This window comes from Homo sapiens, chromosome 9, assembly GCF_000001405.40.
Source record: "Homo sapiens chromosome 9, GRCh38.p14 Primary Assembly".
NCBI lineage: Eukaryota > Metazoa > Chordata > Mammalia > Primates > Hominidae > Homo > Homo sapiens.
Window position 1 is genome coordinate 34,583,127 of NC_000009.12, and position 16,865 is coordinate 34,599,991.

The 16,865-nt window shown below is 54.2% G+C and overlaps 1 protein-coding gene across 12 annotated transcripts in view; it reads right to left on the minus strand.

The window, feature by feature from the left end:
• The window catches only part of CNTFR (ciliary neurotrophic factor receptor), a 39,420-nt gene extending 31,694 nt beyond the window's left edge, over nucleotides 1–7,726 (minus strand). For 4 of the 12 annotated variants that reach the window (NM_001842.5, NM_147164.3, XM_047422758.1 and 1 more), the window contains exon 1: nucleotides 6,429–6,598. The gene's annotated coding sequence lies outside the window, so the exon portion shown is untranslated. Of the gene's footprint in view, nucleotides 1–27; nucleotides 429–6,428; nucleotides 6,599–6,955; nucleotides 7,034–7,103; nucleotides 7,333–7,569 lie in introns of those variants that run through there. The other 8 variants (XM_017014265.2, XM_017014261.2, NM_001207011.2 and 5 more) reach the window with 6 other exon arrangements.

Consider the following 16,865-nt stretch of genomic DNA (forward strand, 5'->3'; position numbering starts at 1 on the left):
AAACCCTATGGTCCCCTCCATCCTCACCTGCTGTCCTCTAGGAGGCTGAGAGAATGTGAGCTGGTGGAGGAGGCCATACTCCCAATTTGAGGAGGGATACCCATCTCCCTATCTTGGATTAATGCCCTTTGCTTCCAAGCAAAAAGTCGTCTTACTTAGGTCTCACTCAGAACTTTTCCACTGCATGGGTATAACCTGTGACCCCTAATATGGCCTAGGGGCCCACATCTGGGATGCAGAGAGATGAAATCCCCTTGCCCACTCTTTATCGCTAGCTGGCTAAGTCTCCATCCACAAACTTTACCTAGCCTCAGAACCCTGTAGGCTCACAGGAGGAAGGCACCAGGACAGGGGTCCTCACCCCATCATTCCAATCCCAGACAGCCCGAATCTCTGCCCACTTGTATACCCTCAAGCTCTGGACACCAGGTGGCTCCGCCTGCCAATTCCTGAGCACCCCCCAACCCCACCCCCACAAGTCCACCTCCTTCCAGGCCTCCCACCCAAGCTCGCCAAGGCAGCTCTATCAGAATCAGCTGCGGGGTTGTGCTGATCTGTTTCTAATCGTTGGGGCCTGGTTCACGCTTGCCCCCAGCCCCCAATATTGATTCCATTATTTGGAAAGTCATTGACGTCAGGGGCCTGGATGGGTGCCAAAACCGCCTTCTCTCCGGGCCTGGGCCAGGGCCCAGCCCCCCATCCCGCAATTTCACGGAGGGGCCCACAAGGGTCAGCTCATGGGCCGAGGTCACATGGCATCTTCCCTCTGACTCTGGGCTCCTCTGCCTTTTTGGAACCACTGTGCAGCTCCCTTCTGGAGAGAGGGGCTACGCAAAGACCTGGGATTTAGAAGTTGGGGGAGGCTATAAAAGGGAGTCTTAAGCCCCTCATTGGGACTCTGGCTGAGAGCAGGGGCTCTGAAGAGGTAAGGAGGAGGGCAGTGGCTCAGAAAAGGGTAGTTGGGAACACTTTGTGTTTTTTGCCACACTCTTATTTTGGAACATCCTGAAGCTGGTCTTGAAATGGATCCTACTGACTACTTGGTTTTTATGTCTGACATCAGTTGTATCTCCAGACTCTCTTAGAAGGAAATTCTCTGCAGTTATTTAGGATAACAGATTACCCTAAATGTTGCCATAATTTGACTAACTGGCACCAGTAATTTTATAAATCTTTGCTCCATATAAAACAAAGGCTCTCTTTCTTGTGCATCTCTCACCTATGCTGCCTCAGTTTCCCCATATTCACACACTCTCCCAGTCTTTCCTGGCGTTGGATGTGTGTTTCTTCCTCTCTGTCTCTATCTGACCAAGATGCAGCCACTGCCACACTGGCCCACGCCAGCAACTCCTGGGCTCTGGCTGGACAGAGTATTTTTAGGATCCGAACCCCGTGTTCTCAGACAGGCATTAATAACCAATACAGACAGTCTGTGGTGCCCACAACAGCTACACAGCCTCAGAGCCCAGCCTTGGAAGGTCAGAGATGGGGTCCATTCCTTCAGCTAGAGGGTCAGAGATGGGGTCCATTCCCCCGAGGGAATTTCTTCTTGTCCAAGAAACTCACACCTAGAGGGTAAGGGACGTGTTCACCACCACATAGGGAAAAAAGGACCTTACTTTCTACAAAATCCTGAGGCTGGGAAGGGGCAGGATGACCTCTGACCTCTGCCACAGAATCGGTGTGATTGCTCTGCCCCAGCCTCCTCTGGTCCAGACCTTTCCAAGGAAGGAGCCTATCCTCTGCACTCCTTCCCTGAGTGAAGGAAAGTCCTTCCTCTACTCTAGCCTGCAAACCAGTCTTCCTTTGAGCCAAACAGGGGTGTAGGACAGGGGATGCTGGGTCTCAAACCACAAATCCCAGCAGCTTCCCTCTCCTCATGATCTGTCCCACTCAGTGATTCATGCCTCAACATTTATTGAGCACCTATTCCCTGCCAGGCACTGTACAGGGAGCCAGGCACATGGTCGTGCCCACAGGGAGCATTCGGTCCAATGAGACAGAAAAAGATGTATTACTGTTCACACAAGAATGCCTTCCTCTGGTGTACGAGGTCTGTGCCAAGGGCAGGCAGGTACAGGGTGAGCAAGGGAGACCCAGTCCTTGAGTCACGTAGAGCTCAGAGGCAACTACTGTGCAACCTTCCTGGGTGTCACGTGGGGAAAGTACAGGTAGGATATATGGTGGGGCACACTGACTACCCTGGGGTCTGGAGAAACCTGTCCTCCTACAGGCTAAGGACTCTTCAGTTTGCTCCTAAGCCCAAGACGGGCCCTCGAGCTGAACACAAGTCACTACCATAGTTTAATTTCAGTTCCTGCTACTGTAGCTCTAGTCTTAGCTTTTGGGAGCTGGCTGCCCACAGCCACAGGGTCTAACTCTTCCTCAACGCCTGCTCCAGCTCCTCCTTCCACCCCTTGGCCCCCAGAGTGCCTAGCTCTGGTGACCCCCAACCGGGCACAGCTCTGTGCTTTGGGACTCTCTTTGCCCTCTGCAGAGGTAAAAGGGACTGATGACCTCAGTGCTCTCCATCCCCAGGGACCACTTGCCTTCCCAGCCCCTCCCCACAGGAAGCTGAGAGCCCTTGTGGGTTTGGTCACCCAGGGCCACAGGAGTTTACAAAGCTGAGGTCTCCCCCACTACCCCCACCCAATGGTGGGTCTGGAGGAGGGGTCAGTTCTCACTTCTCAGGCTCCTTGCTCTCCAGGACGCCCCAAACCAAGCACACATGGTCCCCCCTAACCCATCTGCATTTCAAAGAAAATCCACTCCATATGTTTCCGATTCATTTACACTTCAACTCGCCATGGGGGGGCAGAGAGCAGGGGTGTCTTGCCTCCAAGCCTCCCACCCCGGCTGGAGAGCGTGTGTCCCCTTCAGGACGGGGAGCAGTTACAGCCCAGCCATCTCAGCATTGGGAGGGACCGCAGGGCCATGTCCCTACTGTGTGGGCTCCCATGGGGGAAGACAGCATATCTCAGGCAGCCCCACCCACTGATGTTCATAGCAGCAGAGCACGCAAAGTCCAGGGCAGGGTCTCCACGGGAGTTAGAATCCCAGGGCTGGCTGCATCCTAGGCCCCCCAGGGCTACTGCTCTTTTGGGGAACAGAGTGGGGAAGCCTAGGCATGCCCTGGAGCCAGGATAAGGGCTCAACAGGCAATCCCAGAGACACTGTGAGACACGCACAACAAAACATGGTCCCTACCCCTCCCCAGCCAGGGCAGAGAAGAGAAGAGAGGGTGGGATCCCGTCTCCTCCTCCAGCTACTTTCTCCCCACAGATCTGAGGCTGTTATCTCTCCTACAATCACAGATTCAACACCCTGGAGCAGTCGCAGGAGCCAAGGTCTGCTCCCTCCAATCTTCACACCCCTCCCATCCTAAGAATGATTGAGATGTGTGTGTGTATGGGGCGGGGGAGATGTCTTGGGAGGACAGGAGTCTTATTTCCCCCACCTGGCCCTTCTCTACCACAGAAGGGATGTCCAAAACTATTCAAGGGGGATGGGTATGCATTGACATGGCACACGGAGAAATCTAAAGGTTCACATTACTCCTGTACCAACAATCCACTCAGATCTTCCTGCCAAGAGTCTAGTCTCCTTATGGAAGGAAAGCAGCGAAATCTGACTGGGTTAGCCTTTACCACCACTCCCCTCCATTAGCCCACAGCCCATTGTGAGGGACGTGACCAAATGTGTGTCCTCTCTCCTCCTCACCTTTGGAGGGGACAGATCCTGTAGCAGTCTCTGTTCTTCACTTCAAGTGCCCCGATACTCACCACAAACCAAAGGAAAGCATGGGCATATCTGACCATGAGTCCTAAGTTCCACTGGGATTGTGAATGCCACAATCTTAGTGTGGATCTGAATGTGAGCCCAGGATGACAGTGTGAGTTTAATCTAAGTGTCACGGTCTAATGTCCATCTAAGTGTGAACTCCAAGATGCAAGTACGGGTTTGAGTATGAGCCCAGGTCTCAGCACGCATCTGACTGTAAACCCCAGTGGGTCTGAATGTGAGCTCCAGGACTGAAGTGAGAGAGCCTGTGAGTCCCAGCATTCCTGTACAAGTCAGCATAAGCATTAGAGTTCTAGTGTAAGTCTGAGTGTGAGACCCTGGTCATAAGGGCTTCTGAGTATGAGCTAAGGTGGCTTATATGGAGTCCTAGTGTGAGCACTGGTATCCCTTTTTAAGTCTGAGTGTGAGTCCCAAAGTACCCTTGTAAGTCTAAGTGTGAACATCAGAATCCTACTGTGAGTCTGAGTGTGAGCTCTGAGATCCCAATATGAATCTGAGTGAGTCACAGGACTTCAAGTGAGTCCTACCAAGATCCTGGTATGAGTCTATGTGTGAGCTCCAGGTTACCCATGGAGGTCTAACCCCCAAAGTTCCCATATGAATCTAAGTGTGAACCCAAAGGTCCTAGTGTGAATCTGAGTGAGCTCCAGGGTCCCCGTGTGAGTCAATGTGATCCCCAGCTTGGAAATGTGAATCTGACTATGAACCCCAGTGTCCTCAGCGAGTCCTTGAGTTCAAATGTGAGCCCCATGTTCCCCATGCGAGTCTGACTAACTCGGAGTCCCAGAATATAAGTGTGAATCGGAGTGAGCATGAGGGTCTTTGTGTGAGCCCCAGTGTGAGCCCTAGGACCCCAGTGAGATTCTGGGTGTGAGCTCTAGGTCTCAATGTAGATCTAAGCTAAAGGGTAAGACCGTGAATCTAAGCATGAGCCTACAGTCCCAGTGTGGGTCCCAGTGTGAGCAGAGTTCCAATGTGAGTCTATGTGGAAACTCCAGGACTGAAGTGTATCCCTGGATATGAGCCCCACAACGTAAGTGTCAGTCCATATGAATGTAAGCCCCTAGACCCTAGAAGGAGCTGAAGTGTCCCAGTGTGCATCTGAGTATGGATTCCAGAGCCCCCAGAAGTCCTGTGCATGAACTTTAAACTCCTAGTCTTTGTGTAGGCTCAGGGTCTCAGTTGGAGTATCAGCCCTGACAGTGTGAACCTTAGCTCTATCTCACCAATGCTGACCAGGAGCCCCTGGCACCAGCTGAGAGGATTTGTGTGGGTTGTGACAGTGGAGACAGAGAGGCATAGTTTGAGACACCTAGGCCCTTCTAGCCCCCAAGTCATTGCTAGCCCTACATCCCTGGGAATCTGCAATGGTTCAAGCCCCATTCCCACACGTGTAATGACACACCATCACACCCAGAGTTAGATACACAAAAATACACCTGGTGTTTCAGGCCCCTCGGACACACAGCAATTACAGATGCACAGACACACCCAGCATTTCACACTCGCACCACCTCAGTGACCACAGCCACACAAACACTCCCAGTGACACAGACACAAATTCACCAAGTATTACAGGCAGAACAACTAGTGTTAGAGACACACTCCTACAGCGGCATGCAGACACACACCCAATGTTGCAGACAAGCTGCCAGGCACACAGACACACACAGACGCTTCTCAAAAAGAGAGACTAGACGGAAAGAAAGAAAATCCTGAATTTTCAACAAGGCGTGAAATAGTCCTGCCCGCCTGAAGCTACTGGAGGGGGGAGGGGGACAAGGGAGCGAGCAAGCGAGCGAGCTAACGCTGGAGGAGAGGCTCGGGAGAGGAGAGGAGCCGAGAGGGAGAGCTGTCCGTCTGGTGACCTCCCCACGGCCCAGCCCCCACGCACGCGGAGATACACTACTCGGAGCAACACAGGGACACCCAGACTGGCTCACACTGAGCCGCACTGGAGGAGACACACACGAGCAGACTCACAAAGAGACACTTGGGGATACACCATAGGCAGACTCGCACAAGCCAGGAAGACTTACAAAGAGACACACTGGAGGAGACCCACTACATGGAGATACATCCAGGCGGACTGAAGAGAAAACCATGGGGACGCCGACCGACACACACATGCACACACACACGCGCGCGCGGGCGCGCGGATTCACACGGACACACATGCACTGGCAGACGCGCAACCGTCGGTTCGCATCCCCGGGCGCTTTGAAGTCCAGATTTCTGCCCGAGAAAGAAGCCACCTTTGGGCGCGCAAAGGCCACTACGAACCTCCCCAAACCCAGGAATTTTTCCAGACCCCGCGCGTGCAGCTGAGGGGTGGGGAGAACAGGGACACTAGGACAAACCGCCGGAGCCACCTCCCTCTAGTCCACAGTCGGCCCCACCACCACCACCACGCCCAACCCCCGGAGCGCCCGGACGTGGGGGGCCGCTCCTCCAGCGCCCCCGCCCCCGAGTTTGCAGGCAAAGTTTCTCGTGAACTTTCCTGTCGCCCCCGTCCGTGGGCCCACGGGTGTCCCCTCACTCTTCCCGCACGCATGAGGGCCGCCGGTCTGCTGGTCAGCCCGGGCTCTGAGGGTCCGGCCGCGCGCACTCCGCCGCAGGGTACTCACCGCGCCCTCGGGCCACCCGGGCTTCGCGCCGCGCCTTCCGACCGCCCCCGGCAGCGAGCGAGGCAGGGAGCGCGGAGCTAGCACCGCCCGCCGGATCCCACCGCCGAGCCTCGCGCCGCGCCGGCTGGAGCCGCCGCCTCCGCTGCCGCCGCCGCCGCCGCCCGCTCTGCACCGGCTCTTCAGCGCTCGGCGGCTTTAACCCCCCCATCCTCCTCCCTCCCTCGCGCGCTCCCTCCCTCCTTCTCTCGCCCATGTGACCGCGGGCGCCCGCTCGGCCGCGCGCGCCCTCGCTCCCCTCCCCCTCTTGCCTTGTCTCCCCGCGCCTCCGCGGCCGCGCGCCACGACCCCTCCCCGCCACGGGCCCCGCGCGCCCCCGCCTTGGCACGCTCTCGCTCCTGGCACACGCGGTCCGCTCGCCCTGCGCGGGCCTGTGAGCCCCCACTCCCACTCGCCCAGCACTGGCACGCGCTCTGCCCCCCCGCTGGCACACTCGTCCGCACTGGCACGCGTGGCCCCCTCGCGTTCACCCTTTCTCGGGCGCGCCCTCAAGACGGCTGTGGTCCCCGTGCTTCACGCGCAGCCCCGGCCGCGGGTCTCGCAAACGCGCGCGCGCACACACACACACACACACACCCACTCGGCCCGCTCCCCTAGGGCGGCTGGGCGCGCACTCACCCCCGGGATCGCTCCTTCACACTCACTCTCCCTCTCGGCCTTAGCCAGGTCTCTCCTGCGCACACTCCCGCACGTTCAGGCCCTGACGGCCTCGCACCGACTCCCTGGCACACCCCGGGCCAACTCTCGGGGTCCTCCCTCCGGCGTCGCCGTGAGAGGAACGCGAGCCAGAACCCCCAACCCCCACTTTGGGCAGAAGAAGCCAGCCGGCTCCGCCTCTCCCCTATTGCTACTGCCCCCCGCAACGACTCCCCTCCCGGTCACCCCCTCGCGCGGGGGAAAGGGGCTTCCTTGACCGGGGATGGACCCTGCCGGGAGCCCAGGCCCATGCCTCCAGTGTCTCCGATGACACCAACACCACTACTCGCATGTTCCTCGCGCCCCGAGGACACACAGCCGGGGGAGAAGCCTCCACTGGAATGAAGGGGTAGGGAGGGTGCACTCTCAATGCCGGGCACAGGCGCACCCCTCGATAGGAGGCTCACTCCCTTCGCAGCCTGGGCCTCTGAGGGGCCGGGGTGTTCACTGCACTCGTCCCTGGGCCTCCGGTCTGGCTGCAACATAGGAGAGTAAGGTTGGACAACCTGACCAACTTCTGAGGCCACGTGAAAGCGCAATGGAGTGGCAATGGCAGAGGCAGAGACCGAGAAAGCCACCCCCGTCTCCACCCCTTGGATTTGTCACCTGACCCTTGACCCATAATCCTGGGCCCTGCCCCTCCGGGGAGCTGCTCTAGGGCTGAGGGCGAGGAGAAGGGAGGGAAATGTCTCCATGTTTCCTCACATCCTTCCCCAGTAGGCTGCCTAGAGCGCCCGGGCCCTTTCCCAACAAATGCCTCAGGGACTCCCACTGCAGAGGAAAATCCTTCTTCCCGCCACGGCCTGGGCTTTTCACTTTCACTTCCGTGGCCACAGAATCCCCTTCCTACAACTGGCAGGGGTCGGCATGGGCTGGAGCTCAGAGACGGCCAGCTAGGACTTCAGGACACACAGCAAACTAGCTGCGCCCCGCTGAGGGTCAGCGCACAGCCGCCCACACAAGGTGTCCTCTCCCCGGGCTCTCTGGGCCGCCGGCCTCCTGCTTCCCGTGCCGCAGACCGGGATTAGACTGTGGACGCGGGGAAGGAAGGGGGCGTTGCGACGGGATCTTGAGGGGAGCAGGACTTGCCCCTGCCCCTGCGGCGAAGCTCTAGGCCCTGGCAAGGTTCGGTACACCGGGGGCCGCTCCTCCCCAGGGGGCTGACCGGCCTCGGCGCTCTAATCCGGCCGGGGAGGGGCGGACGGGGTGAAAATTGGCGAGTGGTTTGGGGAACGGACTTGACCTCCAGATGCCCTGGTGTCCCTGGCTCAGCCTCTTTCTGCCAGGTTGGGAGCAGTCGGGAATTCTGTCCCGGTCCAACGTCCCCCTCGGCCCCCGGGGACGCAGAGGCTGCTGTCGGCAGAGCAGCAGTCCACGGCTGCGGGGACAAGATCCGCACTGGGAGTCCGGGGTCCTGGAAGTGGACGTGTGGATGTCAGACGATAAAGGAAGGGAAGAGGCGCACGTCGGACCTCTGTCCAGGCGTCAGTCGGTCAGCAGCTCCTCCCGGCGCGGGACCCAGCGGCCTCGAGCGCTTCCCCGGGGCCGAAGCGACACCTGGCGGACGGTGCGGGACGTGCGTTCCCTTCTGGCTGCTGCTCCTGCTCCGCGCTGAGGCCTCGGCCACCTACTGAACACCGGGGGCTGCCACCTCTCCACACAGCCGCCACCCGGCTCACAACCAATTTTCCTCCCCCCAGAGCTGGGTCAACAGACTAGTAGTGGTTTCCGCTCCTGCCGCCTCTGATGCCCTACCTACACAGTAGCCTTTGAGCTTGTAAGCCTCAGTGCTGAGCCCTCCCCACCGCCTTGGGGGCAAAGTTGAGTTTCTTAGGTGGGGCTTCAAAGCCCTGCAGGATCTGGCCCTGCCTCCTCTCCACCTTTATTAAGCGCCCCTATTCCCGGCCTCCCCAGCTCTGCGCCAGCCCCCTTCTGTGTCATGTCACTTATCCTTAAGCCAAACCCCACTTCACTGACATCCTCTCCCCAACTCCATCTCCAAGAATTCACTGCCTTTCCAATCTTCACCATCTACCTTGCCCATGATGGAGTGGCTGGAAGTAACACCCCCAGGCCAGATCCCTTGTGCCCTGCACGTGATGGGGATCTCACATTTGCGCCTGGGGAAATATGGGAAGTTCCTCGTTGACTTTCAGTTCCTGGAGTTCTCTACCATGAAAGGGGCTCTATGGCCAGGATTTCTGACACCACCCTCCACCCTGGCAGGTGACCTAAACTTGGACCCCCCCACACACACACCAAGGGATCAATTGTGCCATTCCAAGCCTTTGGGCAAGCAAAGACCCTTCCTTATTCTTACTGACATGTCTCCGAGGAAGGAGAGCTCCCTCCCCATCCCCTATGGTCTACCTTTCCAGTGCTCCTTTAGGAAACGGTGCTGGTTTCTAACTTGCAATACCATCAGAAAGTTTCTCCCTGCAGCACACACCTGGCTCTCCAAAGTTACAAACACACACACTCTCACACACAGGCTCTCTGTATTACAAATGCCAAACACATGGTCACATAAAGTCACACACCCAATCTCAAACAGTAAAAGGTGTATATTCAACTTCACTATGGTACACTGAGAGTCAGGGTCCCCAGCTTGGGCTAGGAACTAGAGGTCCCAAAAGAGTAGGAGAGTCCCTGAGTCACACACACCATACCCACACATAGACACAGTTACACACACAGCCATGAACTCGGTCACACTGAGTGTCACACAGGCACACACAGAGTCACACACGCTCTCAATCACACTGGGGTTTGGCGGGTTGGGGCGGGCTCCAGGAGGCAGTTACGTAAACGCCCTCAAGCCCCCGCCCTTGCTCCCCCTCACCCCGCCTGCTTCCTCACACAGTGCCAGCGCCCGGGGCGGCTTGGCCGGGGCCCGGGAACAGCTCGGCCTCGCGGAGGCTCCAGGCGCCGAGAAACCCGATCCGACAGAGCCCCGGGCCGGGCCGAGCCAGGGAGGGGGGCCCAAAACCCCCCCACTCAGGGTCCAGCCCAGGCCCCTAGGGACGACTTACCCCTGCATCCAGAGACAGCTCCCAGCACCATCCGGAGATAGTACCTGGGGCCCACTCACAACATCCCCATCCTGCACACCCCCTTCTGGGATCCTATCATCTGGACGGCTGCCTGTGTGCCCTGACCCTTCCAACCTCTGTCACCAGAAAGGGCAAAGATCCCCTAAAGGTAGAGAATGGGGGAAACTAAGTATCCAACCTTGAATTACCCCCAGTTCCTGGAACTATCTCCTCTTCCCTTCTCACCAGGGCCCTCTAAATTCACTCTGATAGAGAGGGGCTTTCATTCCTGTCCAGGTCCCCCTCAGATTTGCTGCCTATCGATTCCAATATATTCTGTCAGAATTCTAAATTATTCAGGTCCAAGGTCTCCCCTCCCGCCCTTTGATATCCTTTCTTCCTCCTCCAGTGGAAGTTCTAACTCCAGTCTAATCCCAGTTCCTCTCGTTTGCTAAAAAGAAATTTTGAGAGTAACCTGAGGAATCGGGAACAAAATCACCAAAAGGCAGAAAGATTAAGGCTCAGGAAACCCCTGGAAGTCAGGAGTCTGAGAAGAGGGGAGACAATGTCTGTTGTGCGCCCCCCAACATAACCCCCACCCCATTCTGCAGCCTAGACTCCATTTTTCACGATAGCTTTTGAGTGTCTGCTTGGGCCGCCTGGGCCCAGGCAGAAAGGGAATTTCCCCCTATGTTCTCTGTTAATGAACAAAACATTTCATGTTGAAATTCCTCCTCTCTGCCCCCAGCCCAGTGTCTCCAGGGCCCTCCAGCCTGACCAAGCAGGGGCACCATTAGGAGGGGGGTAACAGAGAAGAGGGAAGCCCCCAGGGGAAGCATAATTTACACTAGGGGGCATCTTTTTAAAAAATAAATAATTAGGGTGACTTTTTTTTTTCACTTTTGGCTAAAATTATCCACTCCTGTGGCAGCTTCCCAGAAAGGGCGGCGGGAGGGCGGCCGGAGCTGTCCCGAGGCCCAGGACATGGCCCCCCTCCCCCGGGCGAGGAGCCTTCCTCAAGTTGTTTTCCTGGTCTCTTCCTCTTGGATGTTTTTTGATTATTAATCACATTTTCCATCCTCAGTCTCAGACCAGACCCCCTCCCCCCAGGGTCAGGGCTGGACAGAGGGAGGAGGAGCGGGCTCCGGGAAGATGACTTGGGGACAAGATGGGCAGTGACCCCTGGCCCTGGCTGACCTGAAGGACACTGTCAGTGGCATGTCACAGATCATATCCTCACCATCCTAGCACATAGTAGGTGGCATCCTTAATCAATACAAGTGAAGTAAATGAATGAACAGGTGTCTAGCTTTCATAGCACCCAGCTGGCACTGAAAAATAAAGCCCCTAGTGCTGGTCCCCTTATGCTGCAGACAGAGAAACAGCCCAGAGAAAGGGAGTCACTTGCTCAGAGTCACACAGCAAGTTAGTGCCTTGGCCAGAGCAGTACCTCAAGAATGCTGATGGCTCCCCGCTTCCTGAGTCAGTCAATAAATATATATTGAGCACCTACAGTATGCCAGGCATTGATCTAAGTAGTGAACCAGACAAAAATATCTGCCCTTGCAAGGACATAGAGCAACTAGAACTCCATAGAATGCTAGTGCATGTTAAGTTGGTACGACCACTTTGAAACACTGTGTGGCAGTATCCACTAAAGCTGTGCATATATTTATTCTATGGCCTAGCAAGTCCGTTCCTAGATATATACCCAGGAGGAATGATCAAATATGTTTACCAAGAATGTTCGTAGCAGCTTTACTAATGATAGCCCCAAACTGGAAACAACACAAATAGATAAACAGATCGTGATGTAAGTACAGCAATGGAAAACAACCAGCTACATACAACAATGTGAATAAATCTCACAGACAAAATGTTGAGCAAAGGGGAAAAAAGACACAAAAAGAGTACATAATGAATGATTTCATTTATATGAAGCTCAAGAATAGGCAAAACTAACGTATGGTGACAGAAATCAGAATTGTAGTTACTGCTGTTGGGGGAGAGTGGTACAAGTATACAGTTGTCCCTTGATATCTGTGGGGGATTGGTTCCAGGACCCCCTGAGGATACCAACTCTGAGGATGCTTAAGTCCCTTATATAATAAATGGCATAATATTTGTGTATGATCTAAGCACATCCCCACATCTACTTTAAATCAGCTCTAGATTGCTTGTAATATCTAATACAATGTAAGTGTTATGTAAATAGTTGTTATACTGTTTTGGTTTTTATTTGTATTGTTTTTTATTGTTGTATTTCTATTTTTATTGCTTTTTTTTTCCTAATGTGGTTGGTTGAATCAGAGGATGCAGAACTCACAGATATAGAGGGCCAACTGTACACATGCATTAAAATTGTACACTGTAGGCCAGGCGCAGTGGCTCATGCCTGTAATCCTAGCACTTTGGGAGGCTGAGGTGGGCGGATCACGAGGTCAGGAGATCGAGACCATCCTGGCTAACACGGTGAAACCCTATCTCTACTAAAAATACAAAAAAAAAAAAATAGCTGGGCGTAGTGGTGGGTGCCTGTAGTCCCAGCTACTCAGGAGGCTGAGGCAAGAGAATGGCATGAACCCGGGAGGCAGAGCTTGCAGTGAGCCAAGATTGTGCCACTGCACTCCAGCCTGGGTGACAGAGCGAGATTCCGTCTCAAACAAACAAACAAACAAAACTGTGCACTGTATATATTTGTTCATGCAAAAGTCCCAAGTCTGGTTCCCCAGCCCCGTCAGGCAAGAGGTGGCAGCCTAAATGACACCTAAGAGAGGCCTATACTAAGCCCTTTTGTCCTCCCTCACAGTGCCATCCTCTTTTTCCTTATAGTAGTTAGTTTGATGTCTAATTATCTAGTTACTTCTGTGATGCATGTGAGCTCCAATGAGGGCAGCCCTGTGGCCTCCATCTCCAGTCACGTAGAGTTGGGTCTGGCATAGAACAGGTGTGCTCAACGTTTGAAATAGATTTAAATAAATGTTGATGGAATGAATGATGCAAGCAATTAAGTAGGACAACCTTGACCTGTGAGAAGTAAACCGAAGCTCCAGAGCACAGGGGTGGGAGCCTAGATGAATGGGTCGCAGCCTTGAGGGATGGGAAAGAGGTTTAGTGACTAGTGAGGTGGCAGAGACCGGAAGGCAGGCTGAGGCAACCTGAGTGGCTCAGACACCACATCCTGAAATGCCTTTGGGGCCAAGGCTGTTGAGGCATAGAAGGGCATAAAGAAGTCAGGAATATAAACACATTGGAGTTTTAGCAAGACTATTGAGGCTGCTGGGTAGAGGGTGGTGAGGATGGCGGAGGCTGGAGGTGGGGCAGCCACAGAGAGGTATCTACGGTGACCCATAAGAAAGAGATCTCCAGCCTGACCTGGGGCAAGCAGAGAGAGGACAGGGTTTGGGAAAGGGGCAGGACATCAGATTCATCTGCTTCATCTGCTCCCATGACCCCCGGAGGATCTCCCATGTCACTTTATATACAGAGAACGGGCTCGCTGGACACTTAGTCCTGTGTCTGCTCTCCCAAGCACCCTCCTGCTGGGTGATCCCAAAGTTTGGGCTAAGTGTGGAAAGAGAAGCAGGTGGGGAGAAAGGGAGCAGAGTATCCAGAAGAGGGACAGGGAGAGGGAGTGGGAGGTGGGGGCAGGGATAGGGAAGATGGAGAAACTAGGAGTCAGGGGACTGTGCATCAAAGGTGGGAGCAGGGGCATACGTTTGCAAAATCACAGATACAATTTTTCATTTTGCAAAAATTTGCATGAACAAATTCCCTGCTCAGAAGCACAAAGTCCCTTCATGCTTCCCCACCCCAGTGGGCACTGATCCCACCTACCCACCATTCCTCATGGAGGAGAAAACTATCCTCAAAGGATTGTCCCCCCTAGTACCAACCCAGAGTCTGACATTGCTCTCTGCTGCTATAGAGCTGGGTCCTGGATAACAGCTGGGATTTCCAGGAAGGCCTGAGGACCATGTGTCCCTAAGATTGGATCCCTCCCTTCGCCTCCCATGGCTCTATTTCCTGCCAGCCTGTGATTCTCTGAAGTAGGGGAGAGGGAAGATAAAAGGCCCCAACTTTCCCCCAGAAACTCAACTGTGGTGATTGGGAAGGCAGATAAAAGTCAGAGATTTGGAAACTTAATGCCAGCGTTACCATGTCTGAGGGAAATAGACAGAGGCAGAGGGAGACTCCAAGAGAAAAAACTGAATTAAATTCAGTTCAACAGACGTTTATTGGTGCCTACTGTGTGCCAGGCCTAGAGGGAACATTGTGTACAAAACTACAGATGACTCCCATGTTTTTGGCTTGAGAGACTAGGAGATGATGGTACCATTCACCGAGCTGGGGAGAGAGAAGGGACTTGACATATTCAGTTGAAGGGTCTATGGTGTGACAACTAGGTATGTAACCCCTGTTCAACAGTTCCCAGCATCCTTTATGCTCAGCATGTGCTGGAGGCTTGGGCATTTAGAGTCTCAGACTAACCTGGGCATTATGATGGTGCTAGGGGATGATGAGATAGATCAGAGAACAGGGAGGGGGTGTGATAAGAAAGGAAGAGGAGAGGAGGATTGAAACTAAAACTCTGGGAACCCATGATTAAAAGAGAGGAAAGGGATGGTGATGCACACCTGTAATCCCAGCACTTTGAGAGGCCAAGCCTGGCGGATCACCTTGAGCCTGGGAGTCTGAGACCAGCCAGGGCAACATACTGAGACCCTGTCTCTACAAAAAATATAAAAATTAGCTGGGTGTGGTAGCACACAACTGTAGTCCCAGATACTTAGGAGGTTGAGGTGGCAGGATCACTTGAGTCCAGGAAGTAGAGGCTGCAACAAGCCATGATTGCGCTATTGCACTCCAGCCTGGGCAACAGACTGAGACTGTGTCTTAACAACAACAACAAAATTGGGGGCGGGGGGAGTAGTAAAAATAAATAAATAAATAAAACAAAAATAAATCAATAAAAATAAAAATAAAGGGCTGGGCGCGATGGCTCACTCCTGTAATCCCAGCACTTTGGGAGGCTGAGGCAGATAGATCACCTGAGGTTGGGAGTTGGAGACCAGCCTGGCCAACATGGTGAAACCCCATCTCTACTAAAAATACAAAAATTAACCAGGCGTGATGGTGGGTACCTGTAATCCCAGCTACTTGGGAAGCTAAGGCGGGTGAATCGCTTGAACCCGGGAGGCAGAGGTTGCAGTGAGCCAAGATCACACCACCGCACTCCAGCCTGAGTGACAGAGTAAGACTCTGTCTCAAAAAAACTAAAATAAATAAATAAATAAAATAAAAATAAAACAGAGGAAAGATGAGGGACTTCCAGAAGACAGGGAAGGTGTAGTGGTCCTAGGGATAGAAGAATCAGGGTTGCATGAGGCCAGAAATAGCCTGGTAGGACCAAGGAAGAGCCCAGGTCTTCAGCAGCCAGGAGAGGGGTGGGGCCAAGGGGACGAAGCTAGGGGTATGGAACAGGCTGGTGTAGACTCCTCCACAGGGGCCTGTGAGTAGAGTGTAGACCCCTCCTTCCCCAGCCTCCATGCTGTTCCCTGGAGCCCTGCTTGGGTTGGGGGCCTCTCTCAGCCAGGCAGAAGAATCAAAAAGCTCCTCCCAGGCCCCTAGACTTCCATCCCTGAGCCCTGGTTTTTGGTCTCCCCAGGAGAGTTCTGAGCCTTCCTCAAGCTCAGGAGCATGCAGTGGTTGGGGAACCCTGGGGACCCTGGGGGTAATTGAAACCAGGGCTAAGACATTAGAAACCATAACGCTGACTCTGCGGCTCCCCCAGGATAGCTCCTGGTTTTCTTCTCACCCCGATCCTCCCTGCTGTTGACAGCTCAGCTCTCCCAGGCCCCCAGCAGCTGGGCTGCTGACCCTCCTCCTCAAACCAACTAGAAGGGGCGTCCAACCAGAAGGCACCCAAAGCCAGCCCTCAGGGACCTTTTCTCTGCTCTCAGAAAAGCTTAGTGTATACCAGGCTAACCTCTTCATATTGAGGCATCCCAAATTCTAGTCTTAATAATCCCTTTTTGCAGAACCTAGGGAGTTGAAGTTAGACAATGGGAACAATTTTGCAATAGTGAAAAAGAAAGGGAGGAGGTAGATGTAGGGCAGGAGTGCCCGTCAGCTAGCAGGTGCTCAATAAATATGTGGAGAAAAACAGATCTCAAAGCCTGGACCCCACCAGAGGGAGGTGTTGGCTGGCCAGATCTGTAACAGGGGCAGTACAGGCTACACACCAGGGTAGCAGGAAGTGACAAGGTCAGATAAGGAATTCTGTGGCCTGGAAGCTCTCTCCTTGCTTGGATGTCTCTCTTTCTCTACGTTGCAGTCCTTGTCTCTTAGCAAAAGGACCAGAAGCTGCACTTTTGTAAGACTGATGGGAAGGCCCTCCCCCTGCACAGCTGTCCAGAGATTTCAGGATTCCTAGATTCCCCAAGTGCTGGTGTGGAGATTTGGGCCTGCCTCTGTCTCTGTCTGTCTCTCTCCCTGGCTTTTTGGTTAGAGACAGAGGGGTTCAAATACCTACTCTACTACCTACTGGCTTTGTGGCCTCAAAAAGTGACTTAAGGTCTCAATTACCTCAGAAGTAAAATGGGATCATAACAGTGCCTATTTCCTAGGACTGTGGTGAAGATTAAGTTAA